The sequence below is a fragment of the Homo sapiens genome, chromosome 8, assembly GCF_000001405.40.
Source record: "Homo sapiens chromosome 8, GRCh38.p14 Primary Assembly".
Lineage (NCBI taxonomy): Eukaryota > Metazoa > Chordata > Mammalia > Primates > Hominidae > Homo > Homo sapiens.
The window spans coordinates 39,705,967-39,731,924 of NC_000008.11; the positions used below are offsets into that span (position 1 = coordinate 39,705,967).

General features: G+C 34.3%; 1 protein-coding gene across 3 annotated transcripts in view, besides 1 other annotated feature; it reads left to right on the forward strand.

The window, feature by feature from the left end:
- The window catches only part of ADAM18 (ADAM metallopeptidase domain 18), a 145,498-nt gene extending 121,399 nt beyond the window's left edge, over positions 1–24,099 (forward strand). For all 3 annotated transcript variants that reach the window (NR_135201.2, NM_014237.3, NM_001320313.2), the window contains 3 exons: positions 824–938; positions 17,782–17,941; positions 23,932–24,099. Coding sequence is in view for 2 of the 3 variants with exons in the window: in NM_014237.3 (NP_055052.1) it covers positions 824–938; positions 17,782–17,941; positions 23,932–23,974 (318 nt within the window). In the remaining variant the exon portion in view is untranslated. The remainder of the gene's footprint in view (positions 1–823; positions 939–17,781; positions 17,942–23,931) is intronic.
- Positions 20,965–21,686: an enhancer, noted in NCBI's record as "OCT4-NANOG-H3K27ac hESC enhancer chr8:39584450-39585171 (GRCh37/hg19 assembly coordinates)". NCBI's record gives its function as "activates a minimal SCP1, AML or CMV promoter by ChIP-STARR-seq in primed H9 embryonic stem cells {active_cell/tissue: H9 hESC(primed)}" and the evidence as "EXISTENCE:reporter gene assay evidence [ECO:0000049][PMID:30033119]".
- Positions 24,100–25,958: the final 1,859 nt, after the last annotated feature.

The window sequence follows — 25,958 nt, forward strand, 5'->3', positions numbered from 1 at the left end:
ATTTATAAATGCATTTGATATATATGAATGAAACACAACATCTTTAGCAGTTGGAAATGGGACTTAAATAGTGGTTGAGGAATTTCAGTTCTATACACTTTTATTGTTTGAATTTTACAAAATATGTACTTACTTGTTTTATTTTAAAATGAAAATACTAAACTGTAGAAATATTAATACAAAGGCATGAATAATACAGAAACATTGTCAAATGTTAACTTCTAGCAATGGAATCTTATCATAAAGTTGTATTTGATTGTTGATTTATAATATTTGCTTTGCACGTATGTTATTTTATTATGGAAAATATAATTACTTAAAAATAAAATGCACATTATTGACCAATAATGTCAAATGTTGAAAAGGGGCTAGGATAAGGAATTAAAGTGGCCAATCAATTGATATTTATTTTATCACAATGCTTTCTATAGACATTGAAGTGCATGAATAGAAAATGTCCAAATAGTGACAACGAATGTTTCCAAATTACTAAATAACAGTCATTTAAAAAATTTAACCTCTCTGAATATGAAGACTACAACTTTATTAAATCTTATTTTTTAAAGACGATTGAAGAAGACATTAATGCTCAATGTATAGAGGCCAGAAATAAACTTTCATGTAGGTATTTTCCCATTTGGCCATTATGTTGTCAAAATTTTTACCACTTTTTCTAACCTATTTCTCACATTATATAGTCATAATAATCTTAAGAAAAAATAATTATTCTATGAAATTTAGTTATTTATATCAGATACAAAGACCTTGTATCAGATACAAAGACTAAGACGACTCAAACTGTTTCTGTATTTTTCTGTTTCAGATATGTAATAATTTTGGTAATTGTCAATGCTTCCCTGGACATAGACCTCCAGATTGTAAATTCCAGTTTGGTTCCCCAGGGGGTAGTATTGATGATGGAAATTTTCAGAAATCTGGTAAGTGGAAATTTGTTTTCTAAAGCAAAATAGAAGGTTGTTTTATATAAAGTTAATTAAACAAATCTAAGTCATCTTGAATGGTAGCTTCATCTACATTGCAGCAGTCCCTCCTTATTTGTGGGGGATACATTCTAAAACCCTCAGTGGATGCCTGAAACTGTAGATAGCACCAAGCTCTAAATGTACTATGCTTTTTCCTACATATACATATCTATGATAAAGATCATCAATCAGGCTCAGTAACAGCAATGATTAACTGTCCTTCCATGTTTTATGCCATGGCGTCTCCTTTGCACTTTCATTACTGAAGGTTCTACTGGTCTTCCAGAAGACTGTGGCAGCTGATTTTTCATCAGGAGACACAGCCTCTCCAGCAATTTTTCTGTTTTTCAGTCCAAACCTATTCCTGAATCTGTGTAACCATCTCTTACTTGCAATAAATGGCTCACTCATTTCAGGGAATTCCATGCTGAAGTATTTCTACAGGTTCAAATGTCTTCTGGTGCAACACGTTGCTGTTAATCAGAACACATGTTCTGTTCATGTCTTCTACTTACAAATTTAACGTCTTTTCTGTCTTAACTAAGCATTTATCATGCACTGCAGTCTTAACTTTTGTAGTTTGAGATACATCTGCAAAACCGGTGCAGATTTCTTTCTCCTTCTTTACAATTTTATGAACTGAAGATTTGTTTTAACCATAGATCTTAGCAATGAATAGTTTCCTTATTAAGGAAAATATGTATGTATGTATATTTTGTATGTATATTTTGTCAAATGTTGACATTTGTAAATATAAACATACAAGTTTATTTAAATATTAAAATATTTATAATTATACACATACATTTGTAAGTATACATATACATTTTTTCTTACATATATTTGGAATATGTATGTATTAATATATTTTCCTTATGAAGTCAAGAGTATTCACCCTTTTCCTTAAGGAAAGAATTTTTGGCTTCTCTTTGGCATATACAAATTGATGACCTCACTAATCTTGCCCTTTGGGATCATGATGAAGTAAAATAAGGGTGATTTGAACAAAGCACTGTAACGGCGTAACAGTCAACCTGATAACCAAGATGGCAAAGTGACTAATGGACAGGTAGCATATACGGCATGTATTCGTTGGACTTGGGAATGATTCAGGTCCTGGGTGAGACAGAAAGGAATGATGGGAGATTTCATCATGCTACCCAGAACAGCATGCAGTTTAAAACTTATGAATTGTTGATTTCTGGAATTTTTCATTTAATATTTTCAGACAGTGGTTGCCCATGGTTGTTACTGTGCAACCAAAACTGTAGATAAGGGGGAGTGACTACTGTAATCTTACACAGTATTTATAATCAGATATTCTCAGAGATATTCAGCTTCAATTAACTCAAATAAGTTAGAACACAGTACTAATAAGTTTCAACAAATGTCATTCAACAAAATTTTTAAAATCTCATATAGAATTATAAAAACTAAACAAATGATTTTCATTCCATATTATTACAAACTCTGTAGGCTGTTAAAAAACAACTGTACCATACAGTATTTATTCTCAATGAACTCTGGAAAAACATGGCAAAATATAAATGCATTTCTTTAAGAAAGGATAGTAAAATCAATCACATTTTGAGTGATGGCATAACATTTATGCTTTATTTGTTTCTATAAATGAAGGCAATATTGAAACAGGATAGTTCCCTGACCCCTTCTTGGGACCTGTGACAGGGGTGCCTCATTTGCACAACCTGCAGTTCTCAACTCCTTGCAGGAGGGAGTGTGTGAGTGAATGAGGTGGGAACTGGAGTGCATGAGCACTGGAACCAGCTGGCTGCTTCAGTGCCAGCAGTGGCAAACTCCACTCACTGGGACCTGATGTGTTCCAACCCTTGAAGGAGGGAGAACACAGGTGCAGGGTGCAGGGGCCAAGGTGCAGGGGCCAAGGTGAGCACTTTTGAGCATTGGCAGGAGCAAACACAGTGCGGGCCCTGCGCCCGCATCTGGAGAGGTTCCAGTGACCCTTGAAGCTCCAGAGGGCATGTTACAGTGCTCCTTTAGCTCTGCCATCTGCTAACAACTGTGAACAGCTCAGTGGGCCCTCTTCCTTTTCATGTGAGGTGGTAGCTCTCTGCCAGCAAGGGCAAAGAGCCAGTGTGACAGTCTTTTGCATCCGCACTCATGGCTCCCGAGCTCTTGTCTGGTGTCCAGGAAAAATGAAGTCATGTGAGCAAATTGAAGTATGGTAAATGCAGGGGATTTTATTGCTGATGAAAGTGGCTCTCAGTGGGAAGGGGAGCCGAAAAGGGGATGGGGTGGGAAGGTAATCTTCTCTTGAAGTCCAGCCATCTCCAGCCAGATTCTTCTCTGAAGTTATGCCATCAAGCTGTCCTTCTGAAATCAAGCCACTTCTCTTCAATGTCAAGCCATAGTCCCTGACGTCCAGCTGCTTCTCCTCTGTGCCAGCTGAGTCTGGGGTCTTTATAGGCACAGGATGGGGGTGGAATAGGACCATGGGTGGTTTAGGAAAAGGCAACATTCAAGTGAGAAAACAGGGATATTAGTTCTCACTTTGGGCTGCAGTCTCAGGCTTTTCAGCTTGAGGTTCAGCCTTAGTTGGGGACCTGCCTTTTTCTGCCTAAAATTTCTCTGCCTCCCATCTCTGTCAATATCATAGGCTACTTATTGATTCAATTATTCATTCATTCATACATTCCCTCCACAGACATGTTATTGGGTGTCTGGTGAGGCAATAAAATTGAGATTCACATTTTATAAAGTCCACCCAGGCAGCAATGTGGTAAATAGGTTTGGTGATGTGAGTCTTAATGAATGAAAATTACTGGAAAGCAGTAGCTTTAATTTTAAGGTCCCAAAGTAAACAATAAAAGGAAAAATAAGTTGCTACATAATATCAATTTTTGTGAATAACAATGAATAAAGGCATGTTGATCAATGTGTTTTATGTATGCACAGTTATAAAAAGTTTGCATGAAAATATCAGAGAATGAACAGAGCATGAAAATAATGCATTTAAGTTTGGATAGACAGAGGTTTAGTTATCTGTGGGAAAATTAATGTGACAATATCACTGCGTGTTTGATGCTGGTGTCGTTAAGGGTATCAGGGAATGGTCATACTTAGTTTATAGGTTGTTTAGCTAATCAAAGTAACTCATGGGATGATACAGTTGTGTAGAGTGAGATGAGATAAAAACACTGGAGATAACTTCTGTAAGCAACAGTGATTCAGAAACATCTCTGAGATTATTAATCTCTGAAAAAGAAGATTAAAAGGAACAGCAATAAGGACTTCCTTTTTTGGCTGTGACAGAATAATTCTAGAAAATTGTATGAGGTATTTGTCAACAAGTAAACAATTCTGACATTTGAGAAAGGAAAAATAGATGAAATGAGTTACATGTTTCTAAGGCAATATATATTTTTCTTGTATATACTTAAAGGGTAATTCAGATAAAAAATGAGAAAGAATGTACAGAAAAGACATTTGAAAAAATAATGACTCCAAATTTTCTCAACAAGTTGAAGAAAGTCAGTACTTGTATCCAAGAAGCTAAGTGAATCTCAGGCAAGATAAATATAAATAAACTTTTGTTCATGAAAACTACTTCTGTTAACAAGGCTGCAAGTCCAGGCTTTTTTACCCTAGACTGATTTCTTACCTTAGACTAGCCTGACCCAACTTCGTCAACATGGTAGTTCAACTAGGATGAAGCTATATTTGAAAGCCATTAGGTTTGCTGCTTCAGGGTGGGGTGGGAGGAAAAAGGGAATTACTATATTTGTTGGAGTATTGTTGATTACACTGGCAGTTATGTTGTCAGGAGAACATGGAGGACTAACTATCCTGCTAGGCTGATATAACAAGTATGTTTAGAACAAATGACAGAGCAGAAAATAACTAGGAATTTAACAAGGAAATTCAAAATTACGTGGATATATGGAAAATTTAGAATGCCATATGCATGATTATTGCAAGATTCATGCTAGAAAATATCAAAGAAGATAATGAGCTGTCACCTGAGGCTAATTCCTAGGCTCAGCGAAAGTCTGGCTCAGTGTAAAAGCAGTGCTCCAGCACAGACTCAGCCTGCACTGAATAGAAGAGTTAAGAGTTATTTTGTTTGTGCTTGTTTCCTTTGTTTTTTGGCTATGTACTTATTATTAGTATTAAAAATTAGCTCCTGTTTTCCAAAAAGTCACTGTCAAAACATTACCTGAACAAAAACTCTGGGAGTCAGACTTCAGTGACTACAAAGCCAAAAAATACAGTCTTTGCAAAAATAGCCTGGTAAGTCACTAAACAAATGAACTAATTAAGTCTTCAAAAATCAAGAAACTGGCAAACCCTGAGTAAGGTAGATGAGGAGATAATCAGAGTTTCCTTGTTATGACAGTCAAATAGCCAATTTTCAACAACAATGAAAATTCACAAGGCTTAAAAAGGAAAAGGAAAGCATGACCTATTCACGGGAACAAAATTAATTGACAGAAATCATCCCTGAGGAAGCTCAAAAATCAGACTTACAACGGCTTTAAAATGTACTCAAACACCTAAAGGAAAACATGGACAGAGAACTAAAGAAAATCAAGAAAAACATGTATGGACAAAATGAGAATATCAATAGAGATAGAAATTACTAAATGGAACTGAACAAATTCTGGAGCTGAATGGTACAATAACTAAAATTAAAAATTCACTACAAGGGTTTAAAAGTGAATTTGGGCAGAGAGAAAAAAGAAGCAGTAAACTTGTAGGCAGAACAATTGAAATGGTTGAATCTGAGGACCAGAAAGCAAAAAGAATGGAGAGATTTGATCAGGGCCCAAGAGACCTGAAGACCACTACCAAGTGGAACAACATTCTCATTTTGTGAGTACCATATGGAGAGAATAATGAAAGAAAGAGAGAGAAGGACTATTTGAAGACATAATGCCCCAAAACTTTTAAAATTTTATGAAAATCATAAATATACAAATCCAAGAAGCTTAATGAACTGCAAACAGGACAAATTCAGGGCACTGAACACTGGCGCAAGCACTAAAAAATATTAAAAATGAAGTATAACATGGAATAATATAAAATGGTCAACTAAAATCAGAGAAGGCCCCCCCCCGAGAAAAAAACAGTGAAAGATAAAAGATAAGAAAAACAAGGGCAATAAATAGCAAGGGCTAAAACAATAAAACAATAGATATTAATTCAAATATATCAATAATCACGTTCAATGTTAATATCCATCCCATAAACAGAACCAATGACAAAAACCACGATTATCTCAATAGATACAGAAAAGGCCTTTGATAAAATTCAACAGCCCTTCATGCTAAAAACTCTCAATAAACTAGGTATTGATGGAATGTATCACAAAACAATAAGAGCTATTTATGACAAATCCACAGCCAATATCATACCAAATGGGCAAAAACTGGAAGCATTCCCTTTGAAAACTGGCACAAGATAAGGATGCCCTCTCTCACCACTCCTATTCAACATAGTGTTGGAAGTTCTGGTCAGGGCAATCAGGCAAGATAAAGAAATAAAGGGTATTCAATTAGGGAAAGAGGAAGTCAAATTGTCCCTGTTTGCAGATGACATGATTGTATATTTAGAAAACCCCATTGTCTCAGCCAAAAATTGCCTTAAGCTGATAAGCAATTTCAGCAAAGTCTCAGGATACAAAATCAATGTGCAAAAATCACAAGCATTCCTATACAATAACAGACAAACAGAGCGCCAAATCATGAGTGAACTCCCATTCACAATTGCTTCAAAGAGAATAAAATACCAGGAATCCAACTTACAAGGGATGTAAAGGGCATCTGCAAGAAGAACTACAAACCACTGCTCAATAAAATAAAAGAGGATACAAAGAAATGGAAGAACAGTCCATGCTCATGAATAGGAAGAATCAGTATCGTGAAAATGGCCATACTGCCCAAAGTAATTTGTAGATTCAATGCCATCCCCATCAAGCTACCAATGAGTTTCTTCACAGAATTGGAAAAAACTACTTTAAATTTCATATGGAACCAAAAAAGAGCCCACATTGCCAAGACAATCCTAAGCAAAATGAACAAAGCTGGAGGCATCACCCTCCCTGACTTCCAACCATACTACAAGGTTACAGTAACCAAAAGAGCATGGTACTGGTACCAAAACAGATATATAGACCAATGGAACACAACAGAAACTTCAGAAATAACACCACACATCTACAACCATCTGATCTTTGACAAACCTGACAAAAACAAGAAATGGGGAAAGGATTCACTATTTAATAAACGGTGCTGGGAAAACTGGCTAGTCGCATGTAGAAAACTGAAACTGGATCCCTTCCTTACACCTTACACAAAAATTAATTCAAAATGGATTAAATACTTAAATGTTAGACCTAAAACCATAAAAAGCCTAGAAGAAAACCTAGGCAATACCATTCAGGACATAGGCATGGGCAAGGACTTCACGACTAAAACACGAAAAGCAATGGCAACAAAAGCCAAAATAGACAAATTGGATCTAATTAAACTAAAGAGCTTCTGCATGGCAAAAGAAACTACCATCCAGGTGAACAGGCAACCTACAGAATGGGAGGAAATTTTTGCAGTCTACCCTTCTGACAAAGTGCTAATATCCAGAATCTACAAAGAACACAAACAAATTTACAAGAAAAAAACAAACAACCCCATCAAAAAGTGGGCAAAGGATATCAATAGACACTTCTCAAAAGAAGCCATTTATGCAGCCAAAAAACACATGAAAAAATGCTCATCATCACTGGCCATCAGAGAAATGCAAATCAAAACCAAAATGAGATATCATCTCACACCAGTTAGAATGGCAATCATTAAAAAGTCAGGAAACAACAGATGCTGGAGAGGATGTGGAGAAATAGAACGCTTTTACACTTTTGGTGGGAGCATAAATTAGTTCAACCATTGTGGAAGTCAGTGTGGCGATTCCTCAAGGATCTAGATCTAGAATTACCATTTGACCCAGCCATCCCATTACTGGGTATATACCCAAAGGATTATAAATCATGCTACTATAAAGACACATGCACACATATGTTTATTGTGGCACTATTCACAATAGCAAAGACTTGGAACCAACCCAAATGTCCATCAATGATAGACTGGATTAAGAAACCGTGGCACATGTACACCATGGAATACTATGCACCCATAAAAAAGGATGAGTTCATGTCCTTTGCCGGGACATGGATGAAGCTGGAAACCATCATTCTGAGCAAACTATCACAGGACAGAAAACCAAGCACTGCATGTTCTCACTCATAGGTGGGAAGTGAACAATGAGATCACTTGGTTGCAGGGCAGGGAACATCACACACCAGGGCCTGTTGGGAGATGGGGGACTGGGTGAGGGATAGCATTAGGAGAAATACCTAATGTAAATGATGAGTTGATGGGTGCAGCAAACCAACATAGCACATGCATACCTATGTATCAAACCTGCATGTTGTGCACATGTACCCTAGAACTTAAAGTATAGTAACAATAAAAAAAGACAGAGACTGTCAGAGTATATCAGAAGAAATTTAATAAACAAGACCAAACTCTATGTTGTCTACAAGAAGCACCCTTTAAATGTAAAGACACAGGTAAATTAAAAGTAAAAAATTGGAGAAAGATCTTTGTGTGTGTGTAACACCAGTATCAAAATAAATGAGGCAAAATCTGATTGATAGAACTTCTAGGACAAATAGAAAAATCCTCTATAAGAGTTGACTAGTCTAACTCCCTTCTCTTAGTAATTGACACATCAACATGTAGAAAATCAGTAAGTATAGTAAGTCCTCACTTAATTCCATCAAGTTCTTCAAAACTGTGACTTGAAATGAAAGGACATACAATGAAACCATCTTTTCTCATCAATATTATAATGAAACATTGTTGAAAAAACAATTTTTTCTTTGAGGACCTGCTCATATTGTTTCACTTAAAGTTGCATTTTCCAAGAACTTGCAGACAGACAATGTTAAGTGAGAATTTACTGTATATAATTGACCTTAATACCATGATCAGTCAACTTGATCTAGTTATATTTAGAGAATATTCCATACAATGAGAGCAGAATAAACATTATTCTCAAGACCACACAGAACATTCTCAATTGTAGATCAAATTCTTTGTCTTACAATGTACCTTAACAAGCCTAAGCAATGAAATCCTACTATGTATGTTCTGAGACCAAAATGAAATTGAACTAGAAATCAGTAACAAAAAGAGAACTGTAAAGCCCTAAAATACTTGGAGATTAAGCAACAAATTCACAAATAACACATGGGTTAAAGTAGTCTCAAGAGAAATTTTAAAATAATTTTGAACTAAATAAAAATGAAATACAACCTATCAAAATTTGTGAGACCCATCAAATGCAAAACTTACAGAAAAATGCACAGCATGGAATGCGTATATAATATCTAAAGTCAGAAATTTAAGCTTTCACCTTAGCAAACTAGGGAAAGAAGGTTAAAGTAAATCCAAAATAAAGAAAAGAAAACAGTACAGTAAAAATTGATAAAATAGAAAAAAAAAAGCAAATCAATAAAGGAAAATCAATGAAAGACTGGTTCTTTGAAAACATCAGTTACATTGATAAACCTCTGGCCATACCAAGAAAAATGGAAAAAAGACATAACTTATTAGTATGAAAATGAAAGAAGGCTAACTGCTGATCAAATGAACATGTAAGCGGTAATAGAGAAATATTGTAAATAACCCTATTCTCAAATATTTTATAATCTTTATAAAAAAACAATTCATTGAACAACACAATAAAACAAAACTCACACAAGATGAAACAGATAATTCTAATAGGCCTATACATACTAAAAGAATTAAATCAATAATTAAAACCCTTCCGTTAAATAAGCTGTCAGGCCCAGATATAGCCACCGGTGAATATAACCAAACATTTAAGTAAGAAATTACGCTAATTCTCTGCAATACCTTTGAGGAAATAGAAGCAGGGGTGTGACTTCCTAACTCATTCGATAATGCCAGCATCGCCCCCAGTAGCAAAACCAGAAGACTTCACGAGGACGGGAAACTACAGACCAATGTCTCTCATCAATTTCTCATAATTGTTCAGATTTTATGTCTCTCCTTTCATTCCTGATTTTATTTATTTGCATTTTCTCTCTCTCTTTTTTCTAGGTAATGTTTTATCAATTTTGTTTGCCATTTTAAAAACAGCTTTTAGTTTCACTGATTTTTGTTTGTTTGTTTTTCTGTTTTCTATTTCATTTATTTCTGCTCTAATACTTGCTATTTTTTTTCTGCTAATTTTGGGCAAAGTTCATTTTTCTCTTTCTAGTTCTTTGAAGGGTAATGTTAGGTTGTTTATTTGAAATCTTTCTCTCTCATTTTTTAAAATGCAAGTGTTAATCACCATGAACCTCCCTGTTAGTGCTGCTTTTGCTGCAGCCCATAATTTTTGGCATGTTGCATATTCATATTCATTTGTCTTGAGGTATTTGTTTCCATTTTGTTTTCTTCTTTGACACAAAGATTGTTCACTAGTGTTTTGTTTCATTCCCACATTCTGTAAATTTTCAAGTTTTCCTTTTGCTATTGATTTCTACTTACATCCCCTTGTGATCTGAGAAGATACTTATTCTGATTTCAATCTTCTTAAATTTGTTAACTTTTATTTTTATGATATAACATTTGATCTGTCCTGGAGAAAGAGCTGTGTGAACTTGAGAGCAACACGCATTTTGCTGCTGTTGAGTGGAATATTTCGTGTATGTATGTTAGGTCCATTTGGTGTTTAGTATGATTCAAACTCTCTGTTTTCTTATTGATCTTCTGTTGGGATATTTTATATATTATTGAACATGTGACATTGAAGTCTCCTACCATCATTGTATTGATATCTATTTCTCCGTTTAGTTCAGTCACTGTTTGCTTTATATACTTATGTGGTCAGATGTTGGGTGCTCAGATGTCATACCTTTCTGGTGCATTGACTGTTTTATCATAACATAAAGACTTTGTCTACTGTGACACTTTTTGACAGTCTATTTTGTCTGATATAAGTCTGACCACTTATGCTCCATTTTGGCATTTGCATGGAATATTTTTATTTATGTATGTATTTGCATGGAATATCTTGTATTTATTTGCTTTGATTACTCTTTTTGTGTGTGTGAAATTTGTATAGTTGTGTGTTGCGTGTCTGTGATTAGCTACTTGTGGCTCATATAAAGTAACTTATAAAGTCCATTTTAAGCCATTAACAATCTAAGCTCAATCACATAAAAAAACTACACATTTACACCCTCCTCCACTCTGTGTTATTGTTGTCACAATTCACATCTATTCATATTGTGTATCTTGTAACGTATTTTTATAGTTATTTTTAATACTTTTGTCTTTTAACTTTTACAGTAAAATTAAAAGTGATTTACTCATCACCATTACAGCAACACTGTATTCTATTTTTGTCTCTATATTTATCTTTGCCAACTAGTTTTATAATTTTTTATCCTGACATTTTGCTGTTTAGCATCTTTTCATTTCAACCGGAAGAACTCCCTCTAGAATTTTTTGGTAAGGTAAATCTATTGGTGATGGATTCCCTTAATTTTGGTATGTTTGAGAAAGTCTTTACAAAAGAATGAGTTGGATTCTTATCTTACACCATACATACAGATGGACTCAAAATGAATTAAAGAAAAATGTGACCTATATATGTAAAACTCCTAGAAGAAAGCATGAGAGAAAAGATTCATTACATTGATCTTGGCAATGATTTCATTGTGGGACTATATCAAACTATAAAGCTCTATACAGCAAATGAAACAATCAACAGAGTGAAACCTATTGAGTGGGAGAAAATATTTGCAAACCATGTATCTGATAAAGAGTTAATATCCAAAATATATAAGAATATATAAGAAATCCCTATGACCTAATAGTGAAAACAAACAAAGAACAAAATACCTTATAACTTGTTTAAAAAATGGGTTGACTTGAGTAGACATTGCTTCAAGAAAACACACAAATGGCCAACAGGTATGTGAAAAAATATGCAAATAACACTAATCATCAAGGAAATAAAAATCAGAACCATGATGAGATATCACCTCATACCTGTCAGGATGACTATTATTTTTCAACAAATAAAGGATGTGAAGAACTTGGGACCCTTGCATACTGTTGGTAAGGATATAAAATGGTGCAGCTGTTATGAAAAACAGTATGGAGGTTCCTCAAAAATTGAAAATAGAACTGTCATATGATCCAGCCATCCCACCAATGGAGACATATTTAAAGAAATTAAAATTAGCATCCCAAAATTAACAATTTTGTATCCATCATAGCACTATTCACAATACTCAAGATGTGGAAACTACCTAAATGTTCATCAATAATGTGTGGGTAAAGGAAGTGTGGCATATACATGTAATGAAGGACTACTCAGCCTTTAAAATGAAAATTCTGCAATATGCAGTGACATGAATAAATCTTGAGTACATGATGCTAAGTGAAATAAGCTGTCAGAGAAAGACAAATGTTCCACAGTTCCACGTATGTGAAGTACCTAATATAGTCATATTCATATAATTAAAGAATAGAATGGTGGTTGTTGGGGTGGTAGTATGATGGGGTGGAAAATTACAAATTAATGGGCATAAAGTGTCAGTGAAGCAAGATGAGTAAGATCTAGAGATCTGCTGTACAACATTGTAGCTATAGTCAACAATAAGTACACTTAAAACTCTAACAATCTAGATCTCTCGTTAGGTAGGTGCTCTTCCTACACAAAAGAAAATAAAAAATTTCACAAAAAATAGCATCAGAAAATAAAATACTTGCAAATAAATTTAGCCAGAAAATGTGAGATTGTGCACTGGAAACTCCAAGTCATTACTGAGATAAATTAAAGAAGATTTAAATAAATGGAGAGGCATGCAATTTTCATAGATCAAAAGATTCACTATTGTTAAAAGAGCAGAAATCTCTAAATTTGTTTATCCATATAAGAAAATTTCTGTCAAAATCATCCATCAGGCTCTTTTGCAGAAGGTGATAAGCTGATTGTAAACCTTATTGTAAAACTCAAAGGACCAAGAATAGTTAAAATGACTTTGAAAAAAAAATGTTGGAGGAAATACACTGCCCAATATTGAAACTCACTATAAAGCTACAGTTATCAAGTCAGCGTGGTACTGTCATTAACAGACATACAGGTCAGTAAAATAGAATAAGAAACCAGAAATAGACATGCAAATATATGGAAAATGGATTTCTAATAAATGTTCAAAGCAATACAATGGATAAACTTTAGCTTTTTAAACAAATTGTGCTAGAATAATTATATATTTATATGTAAAAAAGATAAACTTAGAGCTGTATTTCACACCATGTTCAAAAATTAACTCAAAGTTGATTACAGACCAAAATTTAAAACTTCTAGAAGAAAACATAAGAGAAATCCTCAGGGACTTTGAGCGCAGATTTTGTAGATATGACACCAAAAATATGACCCCAAAATGTGATAAGTTGGACAACATAAAAAAATTAGGACTTTTGCTATTCAAAAGCCACTGTTAGGGGAATAAAAGGGCAAGCCACTGCCCCTTAACAAATATTTGTAAAATATATACCTGATAAAGTATTTGTATTCAGAATATATAGTGAATCCTTGAAACTTAATTTAAAAAACCAACTCTATAAAAAAGGGGGGCAAAATAAGCACATGTAAAGACGCCCAACAACATAGGTCATTGGAGAAATGCAAATTAAAATCACAAATAGATGCTACTCATTCCTTTAAAAATTGTTTACATTTAAAAGGGCTGACCACATTAACTTTGGCCAAGATGTGAGGGTAGGAACCATATACTGATATTTAAAACACTGATATTTAAAACAAAATTTATAGTTTCAGAGATTCTTAAGGAGGTAAATACAAATCACATAAATCAGCTATTATACAATTTACCCAGTAGAATAGAATGCTGATGCCCATACAAAGCCTTCCATATAAATGTATATAGTAACAATTTTTGTAATAGATAAAATCTGGTAACAATGTAAATATAAGTCAAAATCTATATAGTAACAATTTTTGTAATAGATAACATCTGGAAACAATGTAAATATAAATCAACAGATGATGGCTAAACAATGTGTAGTCTCTCAATACAGTGGAATACTATCAAATAATAAAAAGAAATAAACTGTTGTTATATACACCAATATGGATGAATCTCAACATTTATGCTAAATGAAACATGTTAGACTACAAAGAATACATACAGTCTTGTTCTATTTATATATAAGTATAAAAAATGAAAGCTAATTTATAATGAAAGAATGCAGACCAGATTAGTGACTGCCTGTGTGGGGAGTAGCAACATGGCAGGATCAATGGGCTTGGGAAATGTGTATGGATTATGGATATATGCATTGTTTGCATTTTTATGGTTTCATGGCGGTACACAAATAACAAAACCTATCAAATTATGCACTTAAAGTGTGGGCATTTATTTCATGTCAATCATCTCTCAGTAAAGCTGTTAAAATAACAAAATTAAAATAATTTATAAAAGAATTTACACTATTTTGTTGCCAACTCTCGGGCACTAGTTAAACCCATTCTTTATCAAATAAAATATTAGAAACACTTTATATTAAATGAAAAAACTAACACATCAAAACAAAAAATATTTAAAATATTTGCCTCATGGGGTTTACATTTGTGAGCTTTCATCCAACTGTACAGTGGTGTTTGCATTTCATTTTATATGAGGAATAACTATGAAAAGAAGAAAAATACCAAAGATAAGCAAAAATGAAGACACTCATTTACTACTAATAGGAATATAATGGATACAACCACTTAGGAAAATCACTGGAAATATTTACTAATGTTCAATGTGGGAATATGCAAGCATTGACACTTCCCGTGTATGCATATATCTGATTTTCAAACATAATGTTGACCAAAAGACATGCTGTAGAATATTCACAGCAGCACTATTCATAATACCCCAAATTTCAAACTACCCAAATGTCTGTCAGAATATCAGAAATTAATACCTGCTATTTCTATGCAAAGGTATAGTATGCATCAATTAGAATAAACATTTTGCAACTATAAGCAACAACATCTGTGAATTTCAAAAGTCAGTAATAATGAACAAAGTCAGAAAACAATGTGCATGCAGTATAATTCCATTTATATAACATTTAAAATCTGTCAAAAATGATCCACACTCACCCTATTCAATAAATGGTGCTGAGAAAGTTGGATAGCCACATGCAGAAGAAAAAATCTATGTATTTCAACATATACAAGAATTAACTCAAGACAGGTTAACAACTTAAATGTAAGACTTGAAAGTATAAAAGTTCTTACTGAAAACCTTTTCTGGACATTGGTATAGGCAAATAATTTATGACTCAAAGACCTCAAAAACAAATGCAACGAAAGTAAAAATGGACAAATGGGGCTTCTTAATTAACCTAAAAAGCATCTGCAAAGAAAAACTAATAATCAACAAAGTAAGTGGACAACCTACAGAATGAGGGAAAATATTTGCAAACTATATATCAACAAAGTACTGTTATCCAGAGTCTATAAGGAACTAAAACTCCAAAAGAAAAAATATAAACAACCCCATCAAAAAAATGGCAAAAGACATGAACAGACACTTTACAAAAGAAGACATCCAAGAGGCCAAAAAACATATGAAGAAATGATCAGCATCACTAATCATCAGAGAAATGCAAATTAAAACTACAATGAGTTATGTTATCAGGATGGTTAGTATTCAAAAGTCATAAAACAACAGATGTAGGTGAAGATGTGGAGAAAAGGGAACACTTTTATACTGCTGGTGGAAATGTACATTAGTACTATAACCATGGAAAACAGTATGAAGATTTCTTAAAGAACTAAAAATAGAACTACCACTCAATCCAGGAGTCCTACTACTTGCTAGCTACCCAAAAGAAGAGAAATCATTATACATCATATGTTCGTTGCAGAACTAGTCACAATAACAAAGTTATGGAATCAACCTAAGTGTCCATCAGTGGAGGACTGGATAAAGAACACATTATATATATATGCACACACATATATATTTATCATGTAATATATATTGATATCATATATATATCAATGGAGGACTGGATAAAGAACACATGGTGCATATATATTTATTTATATATAAAATATCTCCTCTCATTCTATAAGGTTGTCTGCCTACTTTGTTGGTTATACCGTGTGTGTGTGTGTGTGTGTGTGTGTGTATATATATATATATATATATATATATATATATATATATATATATGCCGTGTGTTTTTTATCCAGTCGTCCATTGATGAATACATATTTATATTTCTTTATATATATATCATGGAATACTACTGAGCCATAAAAAAATAAAACCATGTCTTTTGCAGCAACATGGATGGAACTGGAGGCATTAACCTAAGTGAAATAACTCAGAATCAGAAAGCCAAATACTGCATTGGCTCACTTATAAGTGGGAGCTAAACAATGGGTACACATGAACATTCACAGTGGAATAATAGACACTGGGGACTCCAAAACATTGGAAGGTGAAAGAGATATGAAGGGTGAAAAATTACCTATTGAATACAATGTACACTATTCCGATGATAGGTACACTAAAAGCCTAGACTTCACCACTGCACAATATATCCATGCAGCAAAACTGCACTTGTACCTCCTTAATCTATTTTTCAAAGTGTATACAACATGAAAAGATACAAGTATAGTTAATGTGTCTAAATTAATAGCAAGCCAAAATGAAAGGGAAATAAGATTCATGCTCTTAGAGGCAAAATTAGTGATTTTCTTTGGGAAAGACAGTGTCTGGTAAACTAAGTTGGGGAGTTATGTTTCCTAGATTTGTTGCTGGTTACATGGTCTTGTTCAATGTAAATGTCTTTTGAGCAGTACAACTTTATGGCACACATTTTTGTTACTATGTTATATACATCAATAAATTTCACTAAATAAATAATAATTAAACAAACCATGATCATTGTAACGTTTGGAGAGGAGAAGGATTAGGAAATGTCCTGCAGTGCTTTGGAATTATAACAGGATCCTTTTTGAGACCTGGAGAGTGGGTATGTGCATATTCATTTAGTTAACTCATTGCTGATTTTGCTAATATATTTACATATTGTATACTTCTCAGAATTGTGTGATATCTCAACTTTTTAAGTATTAAAAAAACAAAGGTAATAATATGCTTATAGAATGTCAATGAGTGGAAAGATATACACATACACACATGCACACAGATGCACATGTTATGTATAGATATATAGATATAGATGCGGATACAAGTATAGGTATAAGTATGAATTTTGTTTACATACATAGAATATAAACACTAGATGGAGAGAAATGAGTCATTTATAAATGGTTTTCTCTAAGGAAAAAACTGATTTGGCAAGCGAGTGGGATGGTGGTTTCTCAAAGTATACATTTTTTAAAATTGTAACTTAATCCCTATTACTGTATTAACTTGTAAAGTATTGATGTTACAAATAAGCTGAATGCAGCAAACAGCACTCTAAACATGTATACAGCAGGTTAATATTAAATAAATATGTGTAAATAAACAGAAAATCTATGAAAAATATAGCACTGTAGTTTGCATTTATGTTCTATTTTTCCTAGTAGTTTGCAATGCATTAAAACTTCATTATATATACACGTATATGATTAAGTGAAAAAATATAAATTTATTTAAATATCCACTGAGTCCCCACTAATTTATCATATGATTCATTTCTAGGTGACTTTTATACTGAAAAAGGCTACAATACACACTGGAACAACTGGTTTATTCTGAGTTTCTGCATTTTTCTGCCGTTTTTCATAGTTTTCACCACTGTGATCTTTAAAAGAAATGAAATAAGTAAATCATGTAACAGAGAGAATGCAGAGTATAATCGGTAAATATGATATAGAATCAATGTATTAGGTTTAATTATCCTAGTCATTAACCAGTGTCATGCATTTTATATAACATTTGTTATATTAATTCTTAAATATACTATTTTAAATCTAATGTAAGTGGTATCTTTATAATTTTGTGTTTCAATAATTTGTTATTATATTGGGGCAAGCCAAAATTCTCAATGTTCTAGAACTTTTCCTGATGAGTATCCTATGCTGTACCAAAGACTTACTAGGTCAGAAAAGAATATAGTTGGTAAATTATTTTAAGTGCCCTTCTAGTTAGATCTCATTACACATTGGTGTTGGTTTTACTTACCATTTTAATATCTTTGTTCTTGTAATCCGTTCAGATTTTCTGTTCTTTATTAAGTCATGTTTGGAAGCTTGTGAATTCAAAAATATGTCCCTTTCTTCAAAATTGTATAATTTGTTACACAAAGTTATTCGTAGTATTTTCTTGTAATCATTTTAATGTCTGTAGGGTCAGTATTGAATTATCATACTTTATTCCTAATTTTGTTTATTTGCATTTTCTTTTTTTTCTTGTTCAGACCGGTTAAAGGTTTGTTAATTTTGCTGATATTTTAAAAGATCCAACTTTTTGTTATAATTATTTTTTGCTAGTGTTATTCAGTTTTGTATTTCATTAATTACAGGTTAATATTTCTTATCTACTTTTTTTTCCTTGCTTGGGGATTGGCTAGTTCTTTTTCTAGTAGTTGTAAGGCCAATGCTTACATGATTGTTTTGAGATCTTTGTTTTTCTGATACAGGCATTTAAATCCGTAAATTTTCCCTTAGGCTTAGCTGCATTCTATACGTTTTGATAGCATATATTTTCATTTCCATTCAGTTCAAAATATTCTGTTTTTTCTTGTGAATTCTTCCCTTGGACTCATACATTAGTTAGAAGTATATTGTTTAATTCCCAAATATTTATAGATTTCCCAGGATTTTTGCCTTGTTAATTTTCAACTTAGTTGAGCTCTGATCACAAAATATACTTCATTTGATTTCAATCATTGTAAATTTAAAATTTTTTAAATTTTTTGAGAATTTTTATAGGCCTAGTATATAGTCTGTCCTGAAGACTGTTCCAAATACACTTGAATAGAAGGTGTATTTACTATTGTGAATACCCACTGCGTGGTGGGGAGTTCTATAGAATACAGGTAGGTCAAGGTGGTTGATGGTATCGTTTAAGTCTTCTATATCCTTGCTGATTTTTTGTCTAGTTATTCTATCAGTTTTATACCACTTCACGGAAGTATAATTGATATACAAATACGTATACATACTTAATATATACATCTTGATGAGTTTGGAAATAAGTATACCCCTTTAAACCATCATCACCATCAAGGCCATAAATATATCACCTCCCAAAGTTTCCTCCCAAATTTTATATTATTGTTGTTGCTTTACCAAGGTAAGAACACTTGATATAGATCTACCCTCTTAGCAAATATCAAGTATACAATACAGTATTGTTAGCTATAGGTACTGTGGTGTATAGTAGAGCTCCAGAATTTATCTTGCATAACTGAATCTTTGTACCCTTTAACCACCACCTTCCCATTCTCTGCTCCCGCATCTCTTGGCAACCACTGTTCTACTCTCTGCTTCTATGAATTTGATTATTTTTGAGTCCACATATAGTTAAGATCATGCAACTTTTGTCTGACATATTTCACACAAATTTTGTCTGGCATATTTCACTTGGCATAATGTCCTCTACATCTATTCATGAGATAACAAATAAGAGAATTTTCTTCATTGTTAAGGATGAGTAATCTTCCATTACATACATTTGGCACATTTTCTTTATCTATTTACCCATGATGGACATTTAGGTTGTTACCATATCATAGCTATTGTGAACAATGCTACAATGAACATGGAAGTGCGGATATCTCTTCAAGGTCCTGATTTCAAGTCCTTTGAATTCATACCCAGAAGTGAGGTTGTCACATCATATGGTAGTTCTATTTTTCATTTATGAAGAACCGTCATACTGTTTTCCATAATGGCTATACCAATTTATATTTCCACCAACATTGTACAAGAGTTTCTTTTTCTTCATGTCTTTACCAACCTTGCTCTCTTTTCCCTTTTTTCAATAACAACTATGTTAACCTAAGATGTAAAGTAAGCCATTCTAAATGGAAAGTAATATCTCATAGTGGTCTTCATTTATGTTTTCCTGATTATTGGTGATGTTAAGTACCTTTTGATATACCTGTTATTCAATTGTATGTATTCTTGAAGAAATGTCTATTAAGCTTCTTTGACAATTTTTAAATCAGGTTATTTGCTTTCTTGCTATTCACTTGTATGAGATCTACACACACACACACACACATTTGTGTGTGTGTGTGTGTATATATATAATTTGTAGAGACAGTGTCTCCGTATGTTGCGTAGGCTTGTCTAAACTCTTGAGCGCAAGTGGTCCTCCCGCCTCAGCCTCTCAAAGTACTGGGATTACTGGCATGAGCCATGGTGCCTGGCCACCCATATATATTTTTGATATTATGAAACCCTTTATCAGATATATAGTTTGCAAATACTTTGTCTCATTCTATAGGCTGCCTTTTTATTTCATTGATTGTTTCTTTTGCTATGCAAAAGCTTTTTAGTTTAATGCAATCACTTTATTTCTGCTTCTATCGCATGTGCTTTTGGTGACATACCCAATAAAATCATTGCCCAGACCAATGGCAAGGAGCTTTCTCTCTATTTTCTGCTAGAAGTTTTATAGTTTCAGGTAAGGATTAGGCTTTAATCTCTCTCCTGATTTCTTGGAAAGTCAGATAAACAACTTAGTTTCAGTTTGGTTACATGGCACCTTAGGGTGAATGGCTCCATTTTAGTTTCTTCTGTTGGAGACTAGTGCAAGAACTCAGCTCAAAAATAACCTCCCATAAATTTTATTTGACAACCATCTTACAAAATCTTTCTAAGATGCAAAATTAACACACACTTAAAACTTTTGAATAATTTAATATTACTTTCATAAAAAGTTTATTTACTTACCCAATTAGCTTAAATCTCAAATGTGACATTCTTTTACCAAAAGTAGTTACTTTTGATAGAGAAAGCTAAATTATTTTAACTGCATTCCCAGAGAAAGTTGTATACATCCTAAAAATGAATTTATAATTTATTTCTAGCTATGACATTTCTTCAATATGTCTAGTTTCCTATTAGCCTCTGACCTACTTGAACACAAGGATGGCATCCCTATATTTTGGAAAGAGCTGCTACAAAGGTCCCTGAAATGTATTCAAGTCCTTTTCCCCATTGTCTTGGATATTAGCACTTGGCTCCTTTTTAGTTATGTTAATATCTCTAGCAAGTGGTTGCTCCACAGCCTACTTGAATTCCTCTCCTTTCAAAGCTTTCCTTTCAAAGCTTTTTCTTGCTACAAAGCTAGGCTGAAAATTTTTCAAACTGTTATGCTCTGCTTCCTGATTAAATATAAATTTCAACTCTAAATCATTACTTTGCTCCCCCATCTGATTATGGATTGTTAGAAGCAGCCAGGCAACATCTTGAAAACTTTACTGCTTAGAAATTTTCTCTGCCAGATATCCTATATGGTCATCTTTAGTTCAAGCTTCCACAGATCCCTAGGGAATGAACAAAATGCAGCCAAGCTCTCTGCCAAGGCGTAACACACATGACCTTTGTTCCAGTTCCCAGAAGTTCCTCATTTCCTTCTGAGACCTTGGCAGCCTGGACTTAACTATCCATATCACTGTCAGCCTTTTGGTCACAGTCATTTTAACTAGTCTCTAGGAAGTTCCAAATGTTCCCTCATCTTCCTGTCTTTATCTGAGCCCTCCGAACTCTCCCAACCCATTACCCAGTTCCAAAACTGCTTCCAGATTTTCAGGTATCTTTATGGCAATGCCCCACTGCTAGTACAAATTTTCTATGTTAGGCCATTCTTGCATTGCTATAAAGAAATATGAGAAATTGAGGTCAATTTATAAAGAAAAGGGACTTAATCGGCTCACAGTTCTGCAGGCTTTACAGGAAGCATGGTGCTGGCTTCTGCTCAGCTTTTAGGGAGGCCTCAGGAAGCTTACAATCATGGCAGAAGGTGAAGGGGCAAAAGGTATGTCACAAGAGAAAAGCAGGAGCAAGCGAGAGAGTCAGGTGAGGATGGTACCACACACTTTGAAATGGCCAGATCTTGCAAGAACTCACTATTACCAGGACAGCACCAAACCATGGGAGATTCACCCCATGATACAAACACCTCCCACCAGGCACCACCTCTAGCACTGGGGATTATAATCCAGCATGAGATTTGGGCAAGGACAAATATCCAAACAATATATTCACATTTTTTTTTAAAAAAGCAGCCATCCTAACCAGTCAAAGAAAATTAAGAAATTTAAATAATGAACATGTATTTCCTGTTTTGATTACTTGACTGATGAACAGAGATTTTAATAAAATCATGAGTAACTGTATTATTTATCATGCCTTCAGTGATGTATAGTAGACTTCAGAAATGTGTTCAAGTCATAGAGAGTCAGAAAGTCATTATTCTTTAATAGCAACACAATAAATCCTGAGGTATTAATTATTATCAATTATCATGTGAATTAACAAAATATATAAAAAATAAAGTCTTTAAGGTGTATAGGACTATTTAAATAAATATGACATACAACATATATCACAACGAAAAGCACATGGTTAAAAAGTAAATACTTCAGTGAAATAAAAATCTTGGCTATTTGGAAGTTATTTTTTTATGTTATTATTGTTTGTAAGTCAAACAAATATTTTATGTTTAGAAGGAAGTGTGGAAAAATGAATTGTAAAAAAGCCAACCTTATTTTGTTTCCTTCTACAAACTGGAGAAGACAATCAATATTTGATTTTGTTTTTAAATATTGCATGAAAGGTATACAAGCAAGAGTATTCCATAGAAGGACAACTTAAGCATGTCTGGCAAAAAAATTGAAATTAGGTAATTCTATTTTTATATTTTTGAGAACTGCCATACTGTGTTCCACAGTAGTTTTACAATTTTTCATTCCCACCAACAGTCCAAAAGGGTTCCAGTTTGCCCATATTCTTACTAGGATTGTTATTTTCTGCTTTTTTTAAAAAACATATTGGCCATCCTAATGGGTGTGAGGAGATATCTCACTGTGGTTTTGATTTGCATTTCCCTAATGATTAGTGATATTGAGCATATTTTCTTGTGTTTGTGGGCCACAGAGGATGGGAAGTTTTTGTTGAATACATATTATTCAATGAGGAGTTATTCTTTACTGAGCACAGAATTTCACTTTTGCAAGATGAAAATGTTTCTGGAGACAGATGGTGATAGTTTCACAATATGAATGTACTTAGTACTACTGAACTGTACACTAAAAATGGTTAGAATGTGTATTTTACTACACAAAGTATTTTTATAAAGTGAATAAGGAAATTGTGAAAAAATTAAAGTCAGCAACCTGAATATTAACTATAAAATGAAAATTATTTCCATGTTAACTCTATTGTTTTCATGTGTGAACTTCATATTAATGGGGAAAAAAATAAAGACTAACCTTTTATTTTGTCTCCCTAAGCTGTAGGTTTTTCTAAGAAACAAAGTGTATAAAACTGAATAAATGGATTTTGATTGTTTTTACATAGTCATTTCATAGTTTGCCTGGTAAATTATAAATCAATGCTAAGGTACAAAAACATATACATTTATTTTATGTTTAGCTTTTTAGTTGGACTCCTTATAATATAGATAAGTTACCTATAATATAGATAAGAACCAAATTTATCTATAATATAGATAATGTAACATCTATAATATAGATAACCAAACTTATCTATAATAATCTTTGATTTTTAGCAATTATAAAGTAGAAATTCAGTAGTAAATATGGTTTAAAATAGGCAATTGGCTACTACTAAACATATTGTGAATTTCTATTTTTTCTGTTTTTCTTCACTATAGTAATTCATCCGTTGTATCAGAAAGCGATGACGTGGGACATTAATATTGCACAGAACTTCCATAGCAAATAACCTAAAGGAACGAATGTGCTTTATTTATAACCTTACGTTATCCCCAATGCATTGTAAATGTCAAACTTTTGGAAAATAAAGCCTGCGTGCCCTCCCATGTGCCTCCTCCAGTGCCTCTTGCTGTGGTTGGGAACACCCTGACTCCAAGTTCCAAGAGTCTCTGGGATCCACAGACCTGGGTCTGGGCCGTGCCCTCCAGAACCCACCGTTCTTGGGATCTGCTCGGCCTCCCCAGCCCTGGCCAGAAGCAGCCCCCATTCCATGCTCAGCAGCCATCACTGTGGCGAGGCCGCTGGCCACGCAATGCTCTCTTGCTGATCCTCTCAGGGCTGGGCCGGTTGACCTCCGCGGGTGATTGCAAGTGAAGAATTTTTGCTGCGTACGGGGACTGCATTTCAGTGTCCAGAGAGGAAGCATGTGTCACCCTCCCTGTTCCAGTAGCTCAGGCCAAGCTGTGCAGAAGAAACAGAGCTTGTTGCTCCAGAGCCCCAGAGCTTCAAGGCCAGGCGGGCATCATCCCCTTGGTCTTGAACCTCAGGCCGGGCTGGGGAGGGGCACAGTCAGAGCCTGCCCAGTTTCAGGGCCACTGTGCCATTGGCATCTGGTTGAACCTGCTAGTTGGAGGGCTTAGCCCAGAACTCAGACAGCTGTTCCTCACTTACCTGACTCTGCTCAAGAGGGTGCATTTCCTGGAGAGGTGGGGGAAGGAGGGAGGCTGGATGGGGTTTGACACCTACAGCCCATATTTCCTTTCCCATTCTGGGTTGAGGTCACCTAGACCCAGAGTGTGGGGGATGACTCTGGGTAATACTCCCTCTTCTCTTCTAGGGGAGTCTCTTCCTGGAATTGGACAAAGTCTGGTTTTGTGGGGTGTGTGTGTGTGTGTGTGTGTGTGTGTGTGTGTGTATTGGGGCTTGGAAGTATAGTGATGTAAGATGAGCAGACGAGTGAAGAAAGGATGCTGTGATACACTGGGAATGCTCACATGTTTTTCCTTACTGCAGATTCGGAAACACCATTTCTACAAATTGTATGGCCACAGAATATTAAGAAAGACACCAATAATGTTGATGTATCTATACACATTCATCTGTGAAATTATGTTTGTGCTCATATTTACTTTGTTCTTACATTTTGCCTGAGTGAAAATAAATGGTTTACTTACTTTTTCTTTCATTATTCTTCAAGTAGTATATGCATACTAGGGAAATAATTCTTAAATATTTAAAAATACAGTCTCAGAAAAAAACAAAAGAAAGCATACCAAATTCCTAGCACATAAAAAGGCTAAACAGCCAACTTGAACTTGATTTTAACTAGCTTTATTGAGACGTAACTAACATATCATACAATTCACCCATTTAAAGCATGCAATGCGCCAGGTGTAGTGGCTCACTCTTGTAATCCCAGCACTTTGGGAGGCCAAGGTGGGCGGATCACGAGGTCAGGAGATCGAGACCATCCTGGCTAACACATTGAAACCCCATCTCTACTAAAAATACAAAAAATTAGCTGGGCATGGTGGCGGGTGCCTGTAGTCCCAGCTACTTGGGAGGCTGAGGCAGTAGAATGGCGTGAACCTGGGAGGCGGAGCTTGCAGTGAGCAGAGATCATGCCACTGCACTCCAGCCTGGGCGACAGAGCGAGACTCCGTCTAAAAAAAAAAAAAGTATGCAATGTAATAGTTTTAGTAAGATCACAGAATTATGCAACCATCACCATAATCAATTTTTGAACATTTCATCACCCAAAAAAGAAGCTCCAGAAACATTAGTAATCACTCCCCATTGTTTTCTCCTACTTTCCTTTACTTCACCTTTACTTCACCTTTACTTCTCCTTTACTTCACCAGCCCCAGGCAATCACTTATCTACCTTCTAGCTCTATATATTTGTTTATTCTGATCCTCAAAAGACAAGAAAAGCAAGAATAGAAAACAAGGGATTACTTTAAACT